Source organism: Homo sapiens, chromosome 3 (genome assembly GCF_000001405.40).
Source record: "Homo sapiens chromosome 3, GRCh38.p14 Primary Assembly".
In the NCBI taxonomy this organism is placed as follows: Eukaryota; Metazoa; Chordata; class Mammalia; order Primates; family Hominidae; genus Homo; species Homo sapiens.
Window position 1 is genome coordinate 9,398,039 of NC_000003.12, and position 15,198 is coordinate 9,413,236.

General features: G+C 37.3%; 1 protein-coding gene across 39 annotated transcripts in view, besides 3 other annotated features; it reads left to right on the forward strand.

Annotated features, from left to right (window-relative positions):
• The window catches only part of SETD5 (SET domain containing 5), an 80,540-nt gene that overhangs the window by 424 nt on the left and 64,918 nt on the right, over positions 1–15,198 (forward strand). The gene's annotated exons all lie outside the window — the stretch shown is intronic.
• Positions 395–444: an enhancer, noted in NCBI's record as "active region_19403". NCBI's record gives its function as "activates an Ori minimal core promoter by ATAC-STARR-seq in GM12878 lymphoblastoid cells {active_cell/tissue: GM12878}" and the evidence as "EXISTENCE:reporter gene assay evidence [ECO:0000049][PMID:35858748]".
• Positions 4,815–5,315: an enhancer, noted in NCBI's record as "NANOG-H3K27ac hESC enhancer chr3:9444537-9445037 (GRCh37/hg19 assembly coordinates)". NCBI's record gives its function as "activates a minimal SCP1, AML or CMV promoter by ChIP-STARR-seq in naive H9 embryonic stem cells {active_cell/tissue: H9 hESC(naive)}" and the evidence as "EXISTENCE:reporter gene assay evidence [ECO:0000049][PMID:30033119]".
• Positions 5,407–5,701: a silencer, noted in NCBI's record as "tiled region #11896; HepG2 Repressive non-DNase unmatched - State 6:EnhF". NCBI's record gives its function as "represses a minimal TATA promoter and a strong SV40 promoter by Sharpr-MPRA in HepG2 cells {active_cell/tissue: HepG2}" and the evidence as "EXISTENCE:reporter gene assay evidence [ECO:0000049][PMID:27701403]".

Consider the following 15,198-nt stretch of genomic DNA (forward strand, 5'->3'; position numbering starts at 1 on the left):
ACCTCCTCCGTCTCCCCGCGCTCGCTCTCCTTGGGTCGTGGGCCTGGCCCTCCCCAAGCTCTTAGGAGGATGCTGCCACTTCTCACCCCCCTCGCCGCCTTGCACACACCGTTGCAACACCCCATTTTCCCAGGGAGAGAGATCCCCCTCTAATCTAGGCGACCCAACTCCCCCTTTCATGTTTTTCCTGGGTCAGGACGCTTCCCCTCCCCCAACGCCTCTTCACCCCCTTTCCTGGGAACTGCCTACTCCACGTTTACCTTTCCCTTGAGGAGAGGCCTCTTGCTGCCCTCCGCTCGAAATACACAGGCATACTTTTTTTCTCTCCCCGATCCCCCACTCCCTACCCCCGTTCTCGCGGCCTTGTGACAGACAACTCTGATCGCTCTGGGGGCCGCGATCTCCCCTCCGTAATCTTCCTGGACGCCTTCCCTCTCGTTTTCTGGCTTCCCACCTCAGATGGCTGCTTCCCAAAGGCATTACCTTCGCCACCCCCACCACACGTTCTCTGGCTCCCCGTGGCGTGTGCCACAGCGTGTCTGAGATAGCCTCGTTGAATGTGTAGGGTTCGAGCCTGGAGTTGAGCCAGATTGTGTCGTTTTACTTGCCTTGGGCGTGGAGAACGATCTTGTGAGAATATCTTCAAAGGCAGAAAAATATTCCCTTTATGAATTCTCTTTCCCTCTGCGTGTAAGTCGGGAATGTGAAGAGGAGTGTAGGAAAGAGCCCTGGTTCAAGTAGGTAAATCGCATGAGAGGGAAAGTTAAACTGTTGGGAAAGCCCCTTCTATGCTAATTGATTCTATAGAGTCCTTGCTTGTCTCACTTCTTGGGCGTCAGTGGTCTTTCTCTTGGATATGGATGCTGCAGTCAGCTCTGCTGGTCTGGGTCAGGGGTGCGTGTATGACCTGCATTTTCTGCTTTCTCATGTTACTTGTGCAATGTATTCACCGGTAACTCATTTCTTTCCCAGACCTCTGGGTTCCACTGGGCTTTGTCTATATTTAAGTTCATTTCTCCAGTTTCCTTCCTGCACATAGGTACTGAACGAATCCCCAAGTTCTGTGCTAATTACCTTCATCAGTTGACTAAACAAGTTTTTAGATGACATATTTGTGACCAAGGTCATATTTACATTTCTTTGTTGGACAGATGTTACATAGCTATACTTGTGATTGGGGAGGATCCAGCTGAGTGGAGTGTGCTGAGCTTTTTAGGAGAGTGTGTACTCCCTATTTGAAATTATTTTTTGGTTGTTAATTTTATATTATTAATGTTTTTAGGTCACAGAAAGTTCTAAGTGGTAATTTTAGATGTGTGGGATCTGAGCTAGGACTAAAGCAGAGAATACCCACGTAATCAGAGGTTTCTGGGCTCCATAGAGGACGTAGGGCTTTTTTTTTTCTATTGGATTTCTTCCAGTTTTCTCAGGATCATTAGTTCTCTTCTGTAGCCAAAAATTCTGGCCTGTTATGGGATTAGAGTCTTTAAGGTTTACTCAGACTGTCATTATGTGTAGAAAAATGAATTATGCCCTTTGGTAGGACATGACACAAGGCTCTGTTTCTAGCTGCAAATTTAAATTAGATTGTAGAGTGCTTGGGAAATTGGCTTTCAAAAGACCAAAGCTTAATCTTCACTCCTAAACTGCTGGCTTAATTAAAATGGATATTTAGAATTTGGTAAATGTTGATTTTTCTAATAAAAGGCCTTGGTTTAAAAGGGTGACCTTAGGATTGTTTCTTTCTTAAAAGCATAATTCCAGCCCTTCTGGCATGGAGCACTGGTCCAAAAAAAAAAAAAAAAAGTGTGTGTAAGGAGTGGGGGTGGGGTAAAGAGAAGGTTGTTCCTTTGGGTTGGATCACAGGGGTGAGTATACAAGGCAGCAGCAGCTGCTGGCTCTGGAGCTCTGGTTGCTACGTGAGAAGCTTGAGTAGTGCTGGCTGCTGTCTCCAGGGAAGGACAGCAGTGCAGCGTCCATTAATGCTGCTGGCTGCAGGGAGCAGCACTTAGGCGATGGCTGCTTCAGGACTAAGAAGAAACCTTGCTTTTCTGGGAATTTTCACTGCTGAGCTGGTTTGCTTTTTATTGGTGGGGAGATGGGAATTAGTAATTCATAATCTCCTACCCATTTATGGATATTGGCATCTGGAAACTGGATCATGGTTAAAGCCTTTCTTTTTTTGTTTGTTTGATTTGATTTTTGTTTTTTGGCAGATTTTTGTTTTTTATCTAGACATTTGTGCTTGGATAGGACTAAAAGTTCCATTAGAGTTTTAATTTTTCAATCAGTTTAAAAACCCAAGTAATAATTTTAAGAATCTTTCTGATAACCACAATAGGAAGAAAATAACAGGAATTTTTTCCTGCAGCTCACATATCATGCCTTCCTCCATCTCTTTAATCATAGAATCAATTCTTATTATTTTGTTATGTGTCTCCATCCTTTCGATTAGACCACATTTACCTTATAGACGATTTGCTAAACATTTTACTAAGCTTGAACTCTTAAACTCTAAAAAGGTGCCATTTTGGAGTGGTTTCTAAATAAATATTTTTAATTTGTATATTAGTAATAAACTTCTCCAGATTAGATATTTTCTTTGGAGTTTGACTTATAAGATTGATTCATTATATACATGTTGGATATAGCCTTCTGACATCACAAATATATGTCTTTGGCCATAATCCATCTGAAATGTAGGACAGACCAGAAGAAATATGCAGAAATCGAATAAGTCTAGTTCAGGATACTGAGAAGATGGCCTCTGAGCCCCTTAGGTGATCTCCCCTCCCCCACAACTCCTGAACATTAGGATGATCTCTGATTAAGCAAAACAGTCTGAGCGTGGAAAAACTTGAAGGAGAACCACCACCACCAATTATATGCAATACTGGACATATTCCTGTGTGCTGTTTTTCTTCCCCAAGACTCGTGTATCCTATACTTTTTTCTCTCAGAATTTTGATTTGTTCATTTTCGTGTAAATGTACTTAAATCTCACAAACATCTATAATTTGTAGTATCACTCTGGCATTTGTGGCAGAGAACCAAAAAGAATGGAAATGAGTTTTGTCATTCACAAATGTGGCTCACATTGTTTTCCCAGTAATAAAAGCAGACCAATGAAACAGAACCTTTAATGGATACTATTTTAGGAGGTTCCAATTCTTATTACTATCACATAGATAAGATGCAATAGCAGATAAATATGATTTCATGTATACTGGCTGTTTGACATACTTAGGGTTTAAGATAAAAATGTTTGTAGTTTTTTACTCTGTGGCTTAAGTTGCTATATAAAATAATTGCTTTTACACTCGAATTTCCTGTTGTTTGGAACCTTTTGTGCTCTTGATATTATCATTTTTTAGAGGATCATACAGGCCCTTTTCATAGAAGGATTTACTTAAGTTATACCCTTGAAAACTTTTTTATATCTTTTGATACTGTTTTGTGTCCAGGAACTGACTTTCTGAAATTATTCTGGCTTTTCTGGGGAGAATGACTATTTCATTTTTACCTTTGAATGGGGAAATAATAAAGTGCAAAGTACAGATTTGCAGATAATTACTTTTGCTTTATCCTCTCCATGTTGAAATAACTTATGAAAAATTAGGCCATAGTTAACAGCAGTCAATGACTATTGGATACATTTTATCAGAGGGGAACTGGATCATGAATAAAATAAAATTTTAAAAATAATTTTTGGCTGAACTCTGGTGATTCATCAGTTTAATTTGAAGTCAGAAGGTCTAGCAGTGAATTTTATTTATAAAAATTGTATTTCAAGTGTTGAAAACTGAAACTTCTTGACCAGTATATTTTGTTTGAGGCATCAAACTTTGCAAAATGTGCATCGTATATTTAGTGATATAACTGGTAGTCATTTGTAATTTAAAGTATTCTTTCAAAGGCACTCTTTAGAAAGTAATGTAGTGTACCCGTGATGGGCAGGGATTGGTACCATTCCTTACTGCCAAAAATTCCAAAATATGTGGCAAAATGATTGATTTATCTTGTGGGTGGGATTCTGGGAAGTTCATGAAAGGTGGAGAGAATATAGTTTCCTTCACTTGTCTATATACATTTTGTTAAATAAGTCTTAGGAAAACTGTTTTATTGTATCTTTAATTATGAATTGCGTAAAAGATACCCAGTAACTTTGGGGGGAGGTGCTGTTAGAAAGCATTACATTGGAGAGAATTCCCCTACCCTGGGACAAAATGCATTCTGTCTTTAATACTTAGCGAAGGGAACTATGGGATAAAATAAACAATGAAGGTAAGCTCAGTCTGCTTTATATGTGCCCTCACTGAGCAAGGAATTTGTAATCGCATCGTGCCTCATTCGTTTATACCATCATATTGATTTTGTTTGCTGAGTACCTGAGGGAATACCTTACTTAATGTAAGGTCACATTAAGTATGTTTGATATGAAGACAGGGAAAGGAATTTTCTGCTTCTTGGAGTAATGTCTTAGTATTTTTAAAACACTTAAGTTTTTACATCAGGCCAGTTTTGCCTGATGCTCATGTCTGTTGCTTTGGTTGGGCTGCTGCTTTCTCTTCTGTGTTCTTATGGGTTCGTTGTGGTATAAGGATTCCCACAGCTTTCATGGCAGTATGAAGTAATGAGAAGCATTGCCTTAGCCATGTTAGTTACATGTATACTTTTGGCCTATGTTATGAATCACAAAAAGCGGTAGCTATAGGAATGTATACAAAATAGATTTCTGTCTGGGGAATCAAGTTTTTGATTTGTGCTACCTAATGGAGGGGAAAATGCTGAATTTCTTGCTGCTCTGTTTGAGAAATAGATGGAAGCATGGGAGGAGCCAGAGACCTCTGCAGCAGGATTTGGTCTAAGTAGAAAAGGAAGATTTTTGTTTCAAATTGCCAGCTGCTTATGTCAGACTGACTCCCTTATTATGCCTCCAGTAGGCCTGTCAATATGGCCAAACAGCTAGATAAGTGCGGGGCAGGACAAAGGGCTCTTTGCACAGCAGGGAGGCAATGTTGGTGGGGGAGGGGCAGGAGGTAGGAAAGGCAAGAGGAGGAGGTTCTTTTCCCTGGGAGATTATTCAGTTTGGCATACAATTAAAGAAATCATTTTTAGTTCCCACTCAAGCATTGAATTTTTGCCAACCACATACTATTAACCCCAAATTTGATACATTTCAGAATATCTTGTAGGGATCCATTCTCGCCAAGGAAAAATAAAAAAATAAATAAAGCTCTGTATAGGTTAAAATAAAATAAATCCCACACTCTGCACCCTCCTAGGTGCAAGTCACCTCCCGAGGAGACCCGTTCTAGAGCTGAATTCTCATTAAGAAATGGAAAAGAATACTCTATCTGAATAAAAACACATTGTAATACAATGTGTTTATTTGGGTTGGGATTGGACCTGAACATGTAGAATAATTTGTTTCCCTTTATGAAATAGTTGCTCGTAGTTGTCTACAATTTTATTTCATTAAGATAGGTAGCACATTACAGCTTTCATGTGTTGGGTTGCCATATGTAAAATGCTAACTGAAGAAAGGCTACTTTTTAATTTCAGCCTCATCCTTAGTTCCTGGAGAACCTGATATTTCCTGGAGATTACTCCCTCCCCCACCTTTTAGTTTAGGCAACCTCTTTTGATACATTTGTGTTCAGCTCGCATACAAGTGGGATAGTTGCATCCAGTTTATTAAGACTTAGTATGAATCATAGAGTTGGAAAAGATCTGTTGGTTATCTGGTCCTTTAAACCAAAATCATAATGAAATATTTTGAAATTTGGGTCCCTATTGAAGTTTTCATTAAAATGTTAAAGGATCGGTGTTCTGAACAACATTTTTAGTTACTTTTAAAATAAATGTTTTGCGTCAGTTCTTTTTTTAAAAATAAAGAATTTCATTTATAGGCAAATTAGCTGGCAATTATTTGAATTGTGATAGGATTTCTCTTTTATGAAGGAATATATGACAAGGTTTTTCAAAATGCTTAATATATTTTAAAAGACTTTAATTTTTAGAAATAATTGGTTTGAACAGTTTTCCAAGAGCACATTTGTTGCTTGGGTTGAGGTACCACCTATATTGCAATGTTACTAAACTAGCCTTAAAGTTTTCCCTTCTGTCTATACTGCATGCAACAATAAAGGGAACTGGAATGTTAATTTCCATTTATGGATTAGCAGAGGAGATGTTTTAACCGATTAATAACCAAAAAACTGCCTTTCGTACACGTAATATTAAGCAAGCCTGACCAAGTTTTGTGTTATTTCTCTCTGTTAAAGAAAACTGGATGTGTTACTACTTAACATTATATTGTTATTTAATGGTCTTGGCAGTAATGATATAATATTTCGACCAAAAGAAATTTTGAGTAATTAATTATTATTGTAATTAGTTGGAAGTTTCTCATCAGTAAAATAGCAACAGCATTAACACAAAATCTAGTGAGCTATATTTTATATTACTACAGAAATTTAGGGTAGTCATTTCTTTCTTTATAATTTATTCACATGGATTATTTCCATAAATTTGTGGGACTAAAATAGAAGCCATCTAGTCAAGCACCAGTCTCCATACCAGACAGTTTTCTCTGCATGTGCTATGACCCACATTGCCAGTATTAAACATCCTTTACACCCTCCCCCTTCCCAGATAATTAGAAATCTCTTCAGGGTAGCTTCCATTGCTCCTATTACCTGGATCTTGCTAGAGGCTCTAAGAAGTTCCTGGTAAAAGTGAGACAGTAAGGGACCACATTTTGATTCCAAAGGTTTTGATAACTGTTAGGGCTCCCCAAACAGCTAATCTCATTTTCACCAAGACTTAGCCAGCAGAGGGCTGGAATGGAGGTGAAACACAAGCACTGTACCTCATCTTGCCTGTGCAGCTGCTCCACCTTATTTCCTGCTATTATTATCTCACAACGCCTCCTCCCATCAAAAAGAAACTAGGACAAAGGGGGAAAATTGGATGGGCTAATGTGATTTTTATTATGCTAGGTTGTGGGCTTGTTTATATGTACTTAAATACAAAGCTAATTTGCCCCATTCTTAAAAGTCTTTAGTGATAGAGATTTTGTAACTTCTGTATCTTCTACTTTCTTTCTTGATAAACCATTTCAGATTCTCAGCCTTACAGAAAGAAAGGTTTTAAGCATACTTAATTTTCGTTGGCCGTTCACAGTCATTATTACCACCAGATGCCACTGTATTATTAGCTTGAAGAAAGGTGGGCTCTCTTCTGTACATAATATCTGCAATTTGTTTTGGAAAATACTAATTTGTATAAATCTGATTTATGACTAAAATAAGGTTAAAAATTAGACCTCTATGTATGTTTACCCTATTACCTTAGTGGGGGTGAAATTAATTAGCTCTTTGAACATAAATTTTTCATGTCTTAGAGTTCTTTTTTCAAGCTGCATAATTTATGTTCTTCAAGCCATTTTTATCCCATACCACCCCCACAAAGGGGGAAATTTTATTTTTTATCATTTTTATTGTCTTTCAATGGTGAGATTTTCGCCACCCCACTCCTGAAATGTGAAGACTCAAATAAAACTGAGTAATCTAATAAGGTATATGCGTTGCTGAATGTAGTAAGATGATTGTTTCATCATTCTTAGATATTATGATCTAGTTTGAATCTGGTTTCCAGTATCATGTTAGCATATTTAATACTGTTGATATGTTAATTTTAATACATGCCCAGGTGGATCTCCTTGCTTTCTATTTGTGCCCCTTGTTTGTCGTTTTGTATGAAGGGGGTTTTTGTTGTTGGATTTTCTTCCCCATCTCTGTGTCCTGTTATGTTCTTTGGCTTATGTTTCAAAAATTCTGTTTCCTACCACCAACCTCTGTACATGCCACAACACATACAATTTGTACTTTCACAGTTTCTGTGAAGTAGGATGATCTGCAGTTAATAATCAACTGTTTGGGCATTCTTGGTATCCAAGGAAGGTTTTACTTAGAAGGAAGAACCTGGAAGGACCTGTTGGCAATTAGACTACTTCTGCGTTTATTTTACATTTTCCCTTATTAACGTAGGCTGTTGAGAGTTGACTTGTTTTATAAGAGAAACCAGATTGACAGAGAAGACCCCCAATCAGATAGAGTTATTTTAAAAATAAATGTGTTTATTATGGTAACATTTGGGGTAGAATCTAAAGGGCATATTTTTAAAAAAACTTTTAGTTCTAAAGACAAAAGAGTTTAACCTAAAACAGAACAAAGAGAAGGGCCTTTGAAGCAGTATGATTGATTATATGCTGAATGTAGCATTAGAATGTTGTATGAAAGCATAAATTTTTATTTTCTCAATTTCTATGGTACAAACTACTATGCCCATGGAAGTATGTGTTTATGCCCACAGCCTGAAATATATTCGGTGGAATGCCTTAAAAAAGAATAAATCTGGCCGGGCGCGGTGGCTCACGCCTGTAATCCCAGCTACTTGGGAGGCTGAGGCAGGAGAATGGCGTGAACCCGGGAGGCGGAGCCTGCAGTGAGCCGAGATCCCGCCACTGCACTCCAGCCTGGGCGACAGAGCGAGACTCTGTCTCAAAAAAAAAAAAAAGAATAGATCTGAGGAAAATGTAAGAGCAAGTCTAAAATTTTGAAGTCCTTTTTGAAATGCTATTTTTTCCTAGACAAATTTAGTGTTATTTGTGGCAAATAGAACTTTAATGTCGTAATTTAGTAATAGAACAAAATAAGGGTGGGTTTACATGTCCCTGCACATTTTAGGATGGAGCTAAAAATTATAATGTCTGCATACCAAATTGTTACACATTTTAATATTGGGGCTTTTATTGAAAAAGTTTACCCAATATTTAGAAACCTTTAAAAACAAAGTGACATAAAATATTCACAGATAAATCAGGTAGTCACCTTATTGGTGGCATATTATGTAAGTGTACTAAAGCCAGATATTTAGTGTTAATCCAAAAATATGAAAATTATGCTAACATCATATACAGATCTCAGAAGTTGCTGTAGCCAGCCAGGCGTGGCGGCTCACACTTGTAATCCCAGCACTTTGTGAGGCCAAGGCGGGTGGATCACCTTAGGTCAGGTGTTTGAGACCAGCCTGACCAACATGGTGAAATGCCATTTCTACTAAAAATACAAAAATTACCCGGGCATGGTGGTGCGAGCTTGTAATCCCAGCTACTTGGGAGGCTGAGGCATAAGAATTGCTTGACCCTGGGAGGCAGAGGTTGCAGTGAGCCAAGATCGTGCCACTGCATTCCAGCCTGGGAGACAGAGCAAGACTGTGTCTCAAATAAATAAAAAATAAAGAAGTTACTGTAGATGCCACTCTTACTTAAACCCTAGGCCATGTGTGGAGTCCCAGGGGAAGACATGTATTTTTAGAGAAGGAAGGCTCTAGGTAGGTGTAACCTTCCTCTTACAGTTTATCATGAACAGTTAGTATGAAAAGGAATGGCTGGAAGTTTGCAGTAGTACACCGAGCAACAAGAGAAATAAACATATCCCACTTCATGAAATGACTATGCCAGCCAAGGGAGATGAAAAACAATTTTTTTTATAGTACACCTCATTTTTTTAAAAACACTTTAATACTAGGAATATGTTTCTGTGGCAAATAGTTACCCCCAAAGGATTATGTCAAATATCTCTTGTGAAAATTAATTTTAAAATTAATCTTTTGGCTGGGTGCGGTGGCTCATGCCTGTAAACCCAACACTTTGGGATGCCAAGGTGGGCAGATCACCTGAGGTCTGGAGTTCGAGAGCAGCCTGACCAACATGGAGAAACCCCATCTCTACTGAAAATAGAAAATTAGCTGGGCGTGGTGGCGCATGCCTATAATCCCAGCTACTCGGGAGGCTGAGGCAGGAGAATCGCTCGAACCCAGGTGGCAGAAATTGCAGTGAGCTGAGATTGCGCCATTGTATTCCAGCCTGGGCAACAAGAGCAAAACTATGTCTCAAAAAAAAAAAATTAATCTTGTGTAGATAGTGACCACGTTTTACTTTCCTTGGGACAGTCCTGGTTTATACCTGCTATCCTAGCGTAATTAGTAATAGCACCCGTTTCACTCTCAAAAATGTCTCAATTTGGATCATAAATTATACGCTTACCATAATTGTAGAGGATTGTGAGACTTTTAGTCGCTACCTAGCAACCTAGTTTTTCTTGATAGAGCTCTTCTTATTCTGGAGTCTCCTGTGCTGCGATTTATCTGTTGACCTCTCTGAACCCCCATTTCCAAATGAGCAGTTTTTCGAATGTCTTTTTTCTTTTCCCATTAGGTGGTAGTAAGGGAAGGAGTAGGTATAGATTTGATTAATTTTTTAATTTTTTATTATTAAAAACTCCAATTACTACAAAATAGAAAAATACTTTGGAGTTTATTAAACTGTTAGTTTAAAAGGTTCCATTTGATCAGGATAAGGTCCATACCTTGATTGGTAAGTTTGAGTCTTTATAGATTCTGTTTTTTCCATGTAGGATTCTTGTTAAAGAAATTCATTATTTTGTGGAGTTCGTACTCTGGATTTTGAAGGTTGGATAATCATTTAACACATTCCTCTATTAAACAACCTCCCCCCACCTGTATTTCATGTAAATTACTGCTTAGATAGATTGTAAGCATATTTTATAATAGTACTGTGTATTTCCATTAAGAGTTACATAATTTCTGCTTGTCTGTGTAATGTTAAGCAGCTGTTGTTATTCATTGCCTAGATCAAACTTTGTGGTCTTAAAAATTGAAGACCTGGAAGAGCTTTTGTTTGTGTGAATTATGTCAAGATTTACCATATTAGAAACTAAAACTGAGAAAAATTTTAAGTTATTTATTAATATTAAAATAACAGTAATAAAGCCTGCTAATACAAGTAATGTGATTTTTTAATAAAAATAACATTTTTAATTTTATAAGTGTCGTTTGACATTTTTGCAAATCTCTTTAATGTCTGACTTAATAGAAGACAGCTGCTTTCTCATAACTCCTTCTGCATTTAATTTCTTGTGATAAGTTGTTTTGGTTGAAGACTGAAGAAAATCTGGCCTTGTACAGATAATTGGTTGGAAAATGGAAGACCTCATATAACCCTCTGACAGAATCTAGAGGACTTCAGGCATTCTCACACCACCCTTTTTGAGAATCACTGGCCTATATTCATGATTTACTTCATATTAGATGATATTTTCTTACTTCTTCATTTATTGTCCGGAATACTCACCCTTATTTTTATTTGGCTATACTAAGATAGTTTATATACAGAAGGTAAGATAAGCACTTGGGTTTTTTACCCCCTTATTTACTAGTTTTCAAAATAATGGGTTGGTAACTTAGCAACATCTAAAGACGTGAATGAAGTATTATTATTGTGTACTCATGGTTTTAAACATGTTTGATATGTTACAGTCTCTGGCAGTTACTATTTTTGACATTCAGGTTGTCCTACCTTTGTCTGTTGGCTACTAAATTCTTTTGATTCATTCTTAATACTTTCCTCACTTGTTTCCTTGCTTCCTACTATTACTAGATGTTCTAGGATAATTTTGTACATTTTTTGCCCCAAACCTGGAATCAGCCATTTCTGCAGAAACCTCTTCATTCTTTTAATGAAAAATGGTACTTAGAAACCACAGTATGGATGGTAGGAGTGTTCATTGCTCTTGGTTTGGGCCTTGTTTCTAGATTTTTCAATGAACAAAGTTTAAAAGTATTTTATTTCTTTTTAAAAATATCACTTGGTATTTTAAAAGCTGCATTTCAAACTCAGTGCTACATGATGTTTACGTAAACCTAATCTTTCTCCCTTTCCCCATGCCCAAAATCTCAGTTTTCACTAACACCAATGTAATTTCTCTTTGTTTTGTGCCACAATACACACACTACAGTTTTAGTGTGACAGAACAATATGATTACTGGAAAGTGGCTTTTTGTTTTGTTTTCTCATGTCTTTTTGCCCTTAGGGTATATCCCTTTAGAGATAGAGATAGTCATGCCTCACTTGATGAGGATATTTTCTGAGAAATGTGTTGTCAGGTGATTTCGTCATTGTGTGAACATCTAGAATGTACTAACATAAACCTAGATGGTACACCTAAGCTATATGGTATAGCCCATTGCTCTTAGGCTACAAATCTGTGCAGCATGTGACCACTGGATACTATACGCAGTTGTAACACAGTGGTAAGCATTTGTGTATCTGAAAATGGAAAAGATAAAGTAAACATACGGTATAAAAGATAAAAAATGGTACACCTTTGTAGGGCAGCTCCATTACAGTCTTATGGGATCATTATCATATGTGGTCCATCCTTGACTGAAATGTCGTTATGTGGCACATGACCATATATAGTCAGATTACAGTATTTTGAAATCCCCCTTAGAATAGTTCTCTATGGTTGTGCCACCAGTTTGATACACAGTGAGGTTAATTTGTTACATTTTACTTTCAGATTTTTCAGGGATTAGGTTTTGTTTTATGATTATGTAAAATACTTAAATGGTTAATAAGTGAAATTTACGAAGCTGGGTATAATCAGAAAAATTGAGCTTCTATCCTAGTGTCTTCCAGCTGGTTCTCTCCCTGTCCCTGTATGTTAGACTCAACAGAGTCATCATGAATTTTCAGAGTGATGTTTTGTCGATACTTCCCCTTTTAGCAGAAGAAGCATTTAGGTTAGTTCATTTACTAAAACTATTTCCTTCTAGATTTTTCACTAACTAATATTTTTACACTGTAGAAGAGGAATGTGGAAATTTCTGTTCTTTCTTTTTTGGAACCAGAATTTCTTGGCTTAATACAAGCAGTTTGAGATAAGAAACTTTCTCCAGTAAAAATTCTCTTTTTTTTTTTCTTTTTTTTCTTTTTTTTGAGATGGAGTCTCGCTCTGTTTCGCAGGCTGGAGTGCAGTGGCATGATCTCAGCTCACTGCAACCTAGGCGTCCCAGGTTGAAGCAATTCTCCTGTCTCAGCCTCCCAAGTAGCTGGGACTACAGGTGCCTGCCACCACGCCCAGCTAATTTTTATATTTTTAGTAGAGACAGGGTTTCACCTTGTTGTTCAGGCTGGTCTTGAACTCCTAACTTCAGGTGAGCCACCGCACCTGGCCAAAATTCTCTCTCTTGAAATGCCAGACCATGTTTGTCTCTGGGAATTTCAGGTACACTTGGGACACTGGTGCTACTTGAAGTGTAGAGAGCTCATCAGTTAACATTTCTTGAATGGTTTGCCCTTAGACCTGAAATGTATGTTATTTAGAAAGGATGTCATATATTTTTTAACTTTGTCATTTAAAATCCAAGTTATTTGATTTTATGTGTTTTAAATAAAATATTAAAACTTTAAAAGTCTTGTACCTGTTAAATGTTTTATCCTTCCTAATTACAGTATCTTAAAGTTATCACATTTCAGCAATACGTCACTTTCTAATGACTAATATAGTCTTTAAAAATACTAAATCAAGATATACCAAAGGTGAAGAAATAGTGATTAAGAATGTGAGGATTCTAGCTGTGGTTTTCTTGCTTTGGCTTTGGCCAAGATGAGTTTAATTCTTTGGTCTAATAGGAATAATACTTTTCTCCTAAACATTATGAGCATTATTTGAGTTAATGCATGAAAAGTGGTTAAAGGAACAGTGGCTGGTGCAACATAAGCATCCAGTAAATGCTGCCTTTATTTTGGAAGTGGTTATTGTTACGAGTATTTGATCAGTTCTCTAAACTCTGTCTGAACTTTACTTAGAATTAGTAATGTTCATATGCTGTAAATAACACCTGATTTTCAATACTTCATTGGTTATATGAAAAGAACCAACTGTTAACAAAGGAATAATTGGTATCTAGTTAAAATTTGAGGCCTCTGACTTCACAAGTATACCAGTGCTTACTATATAAATATAATCACATTTAAAAATTTAATAAAGAAAGTTTTAAGGAAGTAAGTCTCCTTTTCAGGATCCAGGGTCCTTTACAAACACTGGATCCTGAAATTGTATTATTTGTTGTGGCTTTAGGGTATTGTGTATGCTGACCAGAGTCACAGGTGGTTTTTTTGTTTGTTTAACACTAGAATTTTGAGATACATTTGTCTTTACATGCCCTCAAAGTAAGTTATATAACACCAGATTGTTCATTAGTTCAGGTTTGATTTTTTTGTTGTTGTTTTTTGTTTTTCTTTTTAATACTCTGGGGTTGGAGTGAGGTTGTAGAGTGCTATAAGGAATTCCTATTAGAAGATAGTATTTTAGATATGGGCATTCTAGGAAAGGACAAAATGGTACACTAAAGTTATCTTCCCTTTTCCCCCACCACCAAAAAAATAAGGAGCAAACTACAGTGCACAGTTTTGGGTTTTTTTTTTTTTTTTTTTTTTTTTTTTTTAAAGAGACAAGGTCCTACTCTGTCGCCCAGGCTAGAGTGCAGTAGCACAATCATTGTTCATTGTAACCTTGAACCACTGGGCTCAAGCAGTCCTCCCACCTCAACCTCCAGTGTAGCTAGGACTACAGGTATGTGCTACCACACCCAGCTAATTTTTTAAAAAATATCTTGTACAGGTGGGGGTCTCACTGTGTTGCCCAGGCTGGTCTTGATTGAACTCCTGGCCTCAAGTGGTCTCATACCTCAGCCTCCCAAAGCTCTGGGTTTACAGGCATAAGCCATCAGGCCCAGCCCACATTTTGTTTTTTAAACAAGTCTTTATCTTTTGGAGATACATGCTGAAATATTTATGGATGAAATGAAATGTTATCTGGGGTTTGCTTTAGATAGAGAGGAGATAATAGATGAAACAATCAACTTATTAGTTGGTCATTGTCGATACTAGATAATGAATAAATGGACTTCTTTATACCATTTTACTTTCATACTTTATTTGAAACAAGGTCTTGCTATGTTGCCCAGCTGGCCTTGAACTCCTGGCCTCAAGAGATTCTCATGCCTCAGCCTCCCAGAGCTTTGGGATTACAGGCATGAACCACCATGCCCAGCCCATAATAGAAAGTTTTAAATTTTAAAATAAAAGTATTCATAGACTTGGCTATCATGGATCCTGGTAAAGTAGACTAGTGAACATAATCAGATGTTTCAGTCTTTCCCTGTTGATACTGCTTGCCCTCTGAGCCCATTTCCTCTCCTGATCATCGCCTGCTATTTCCAATCAACAGAAAAAATAGAGTAGCCTACATATATAATGAGTTT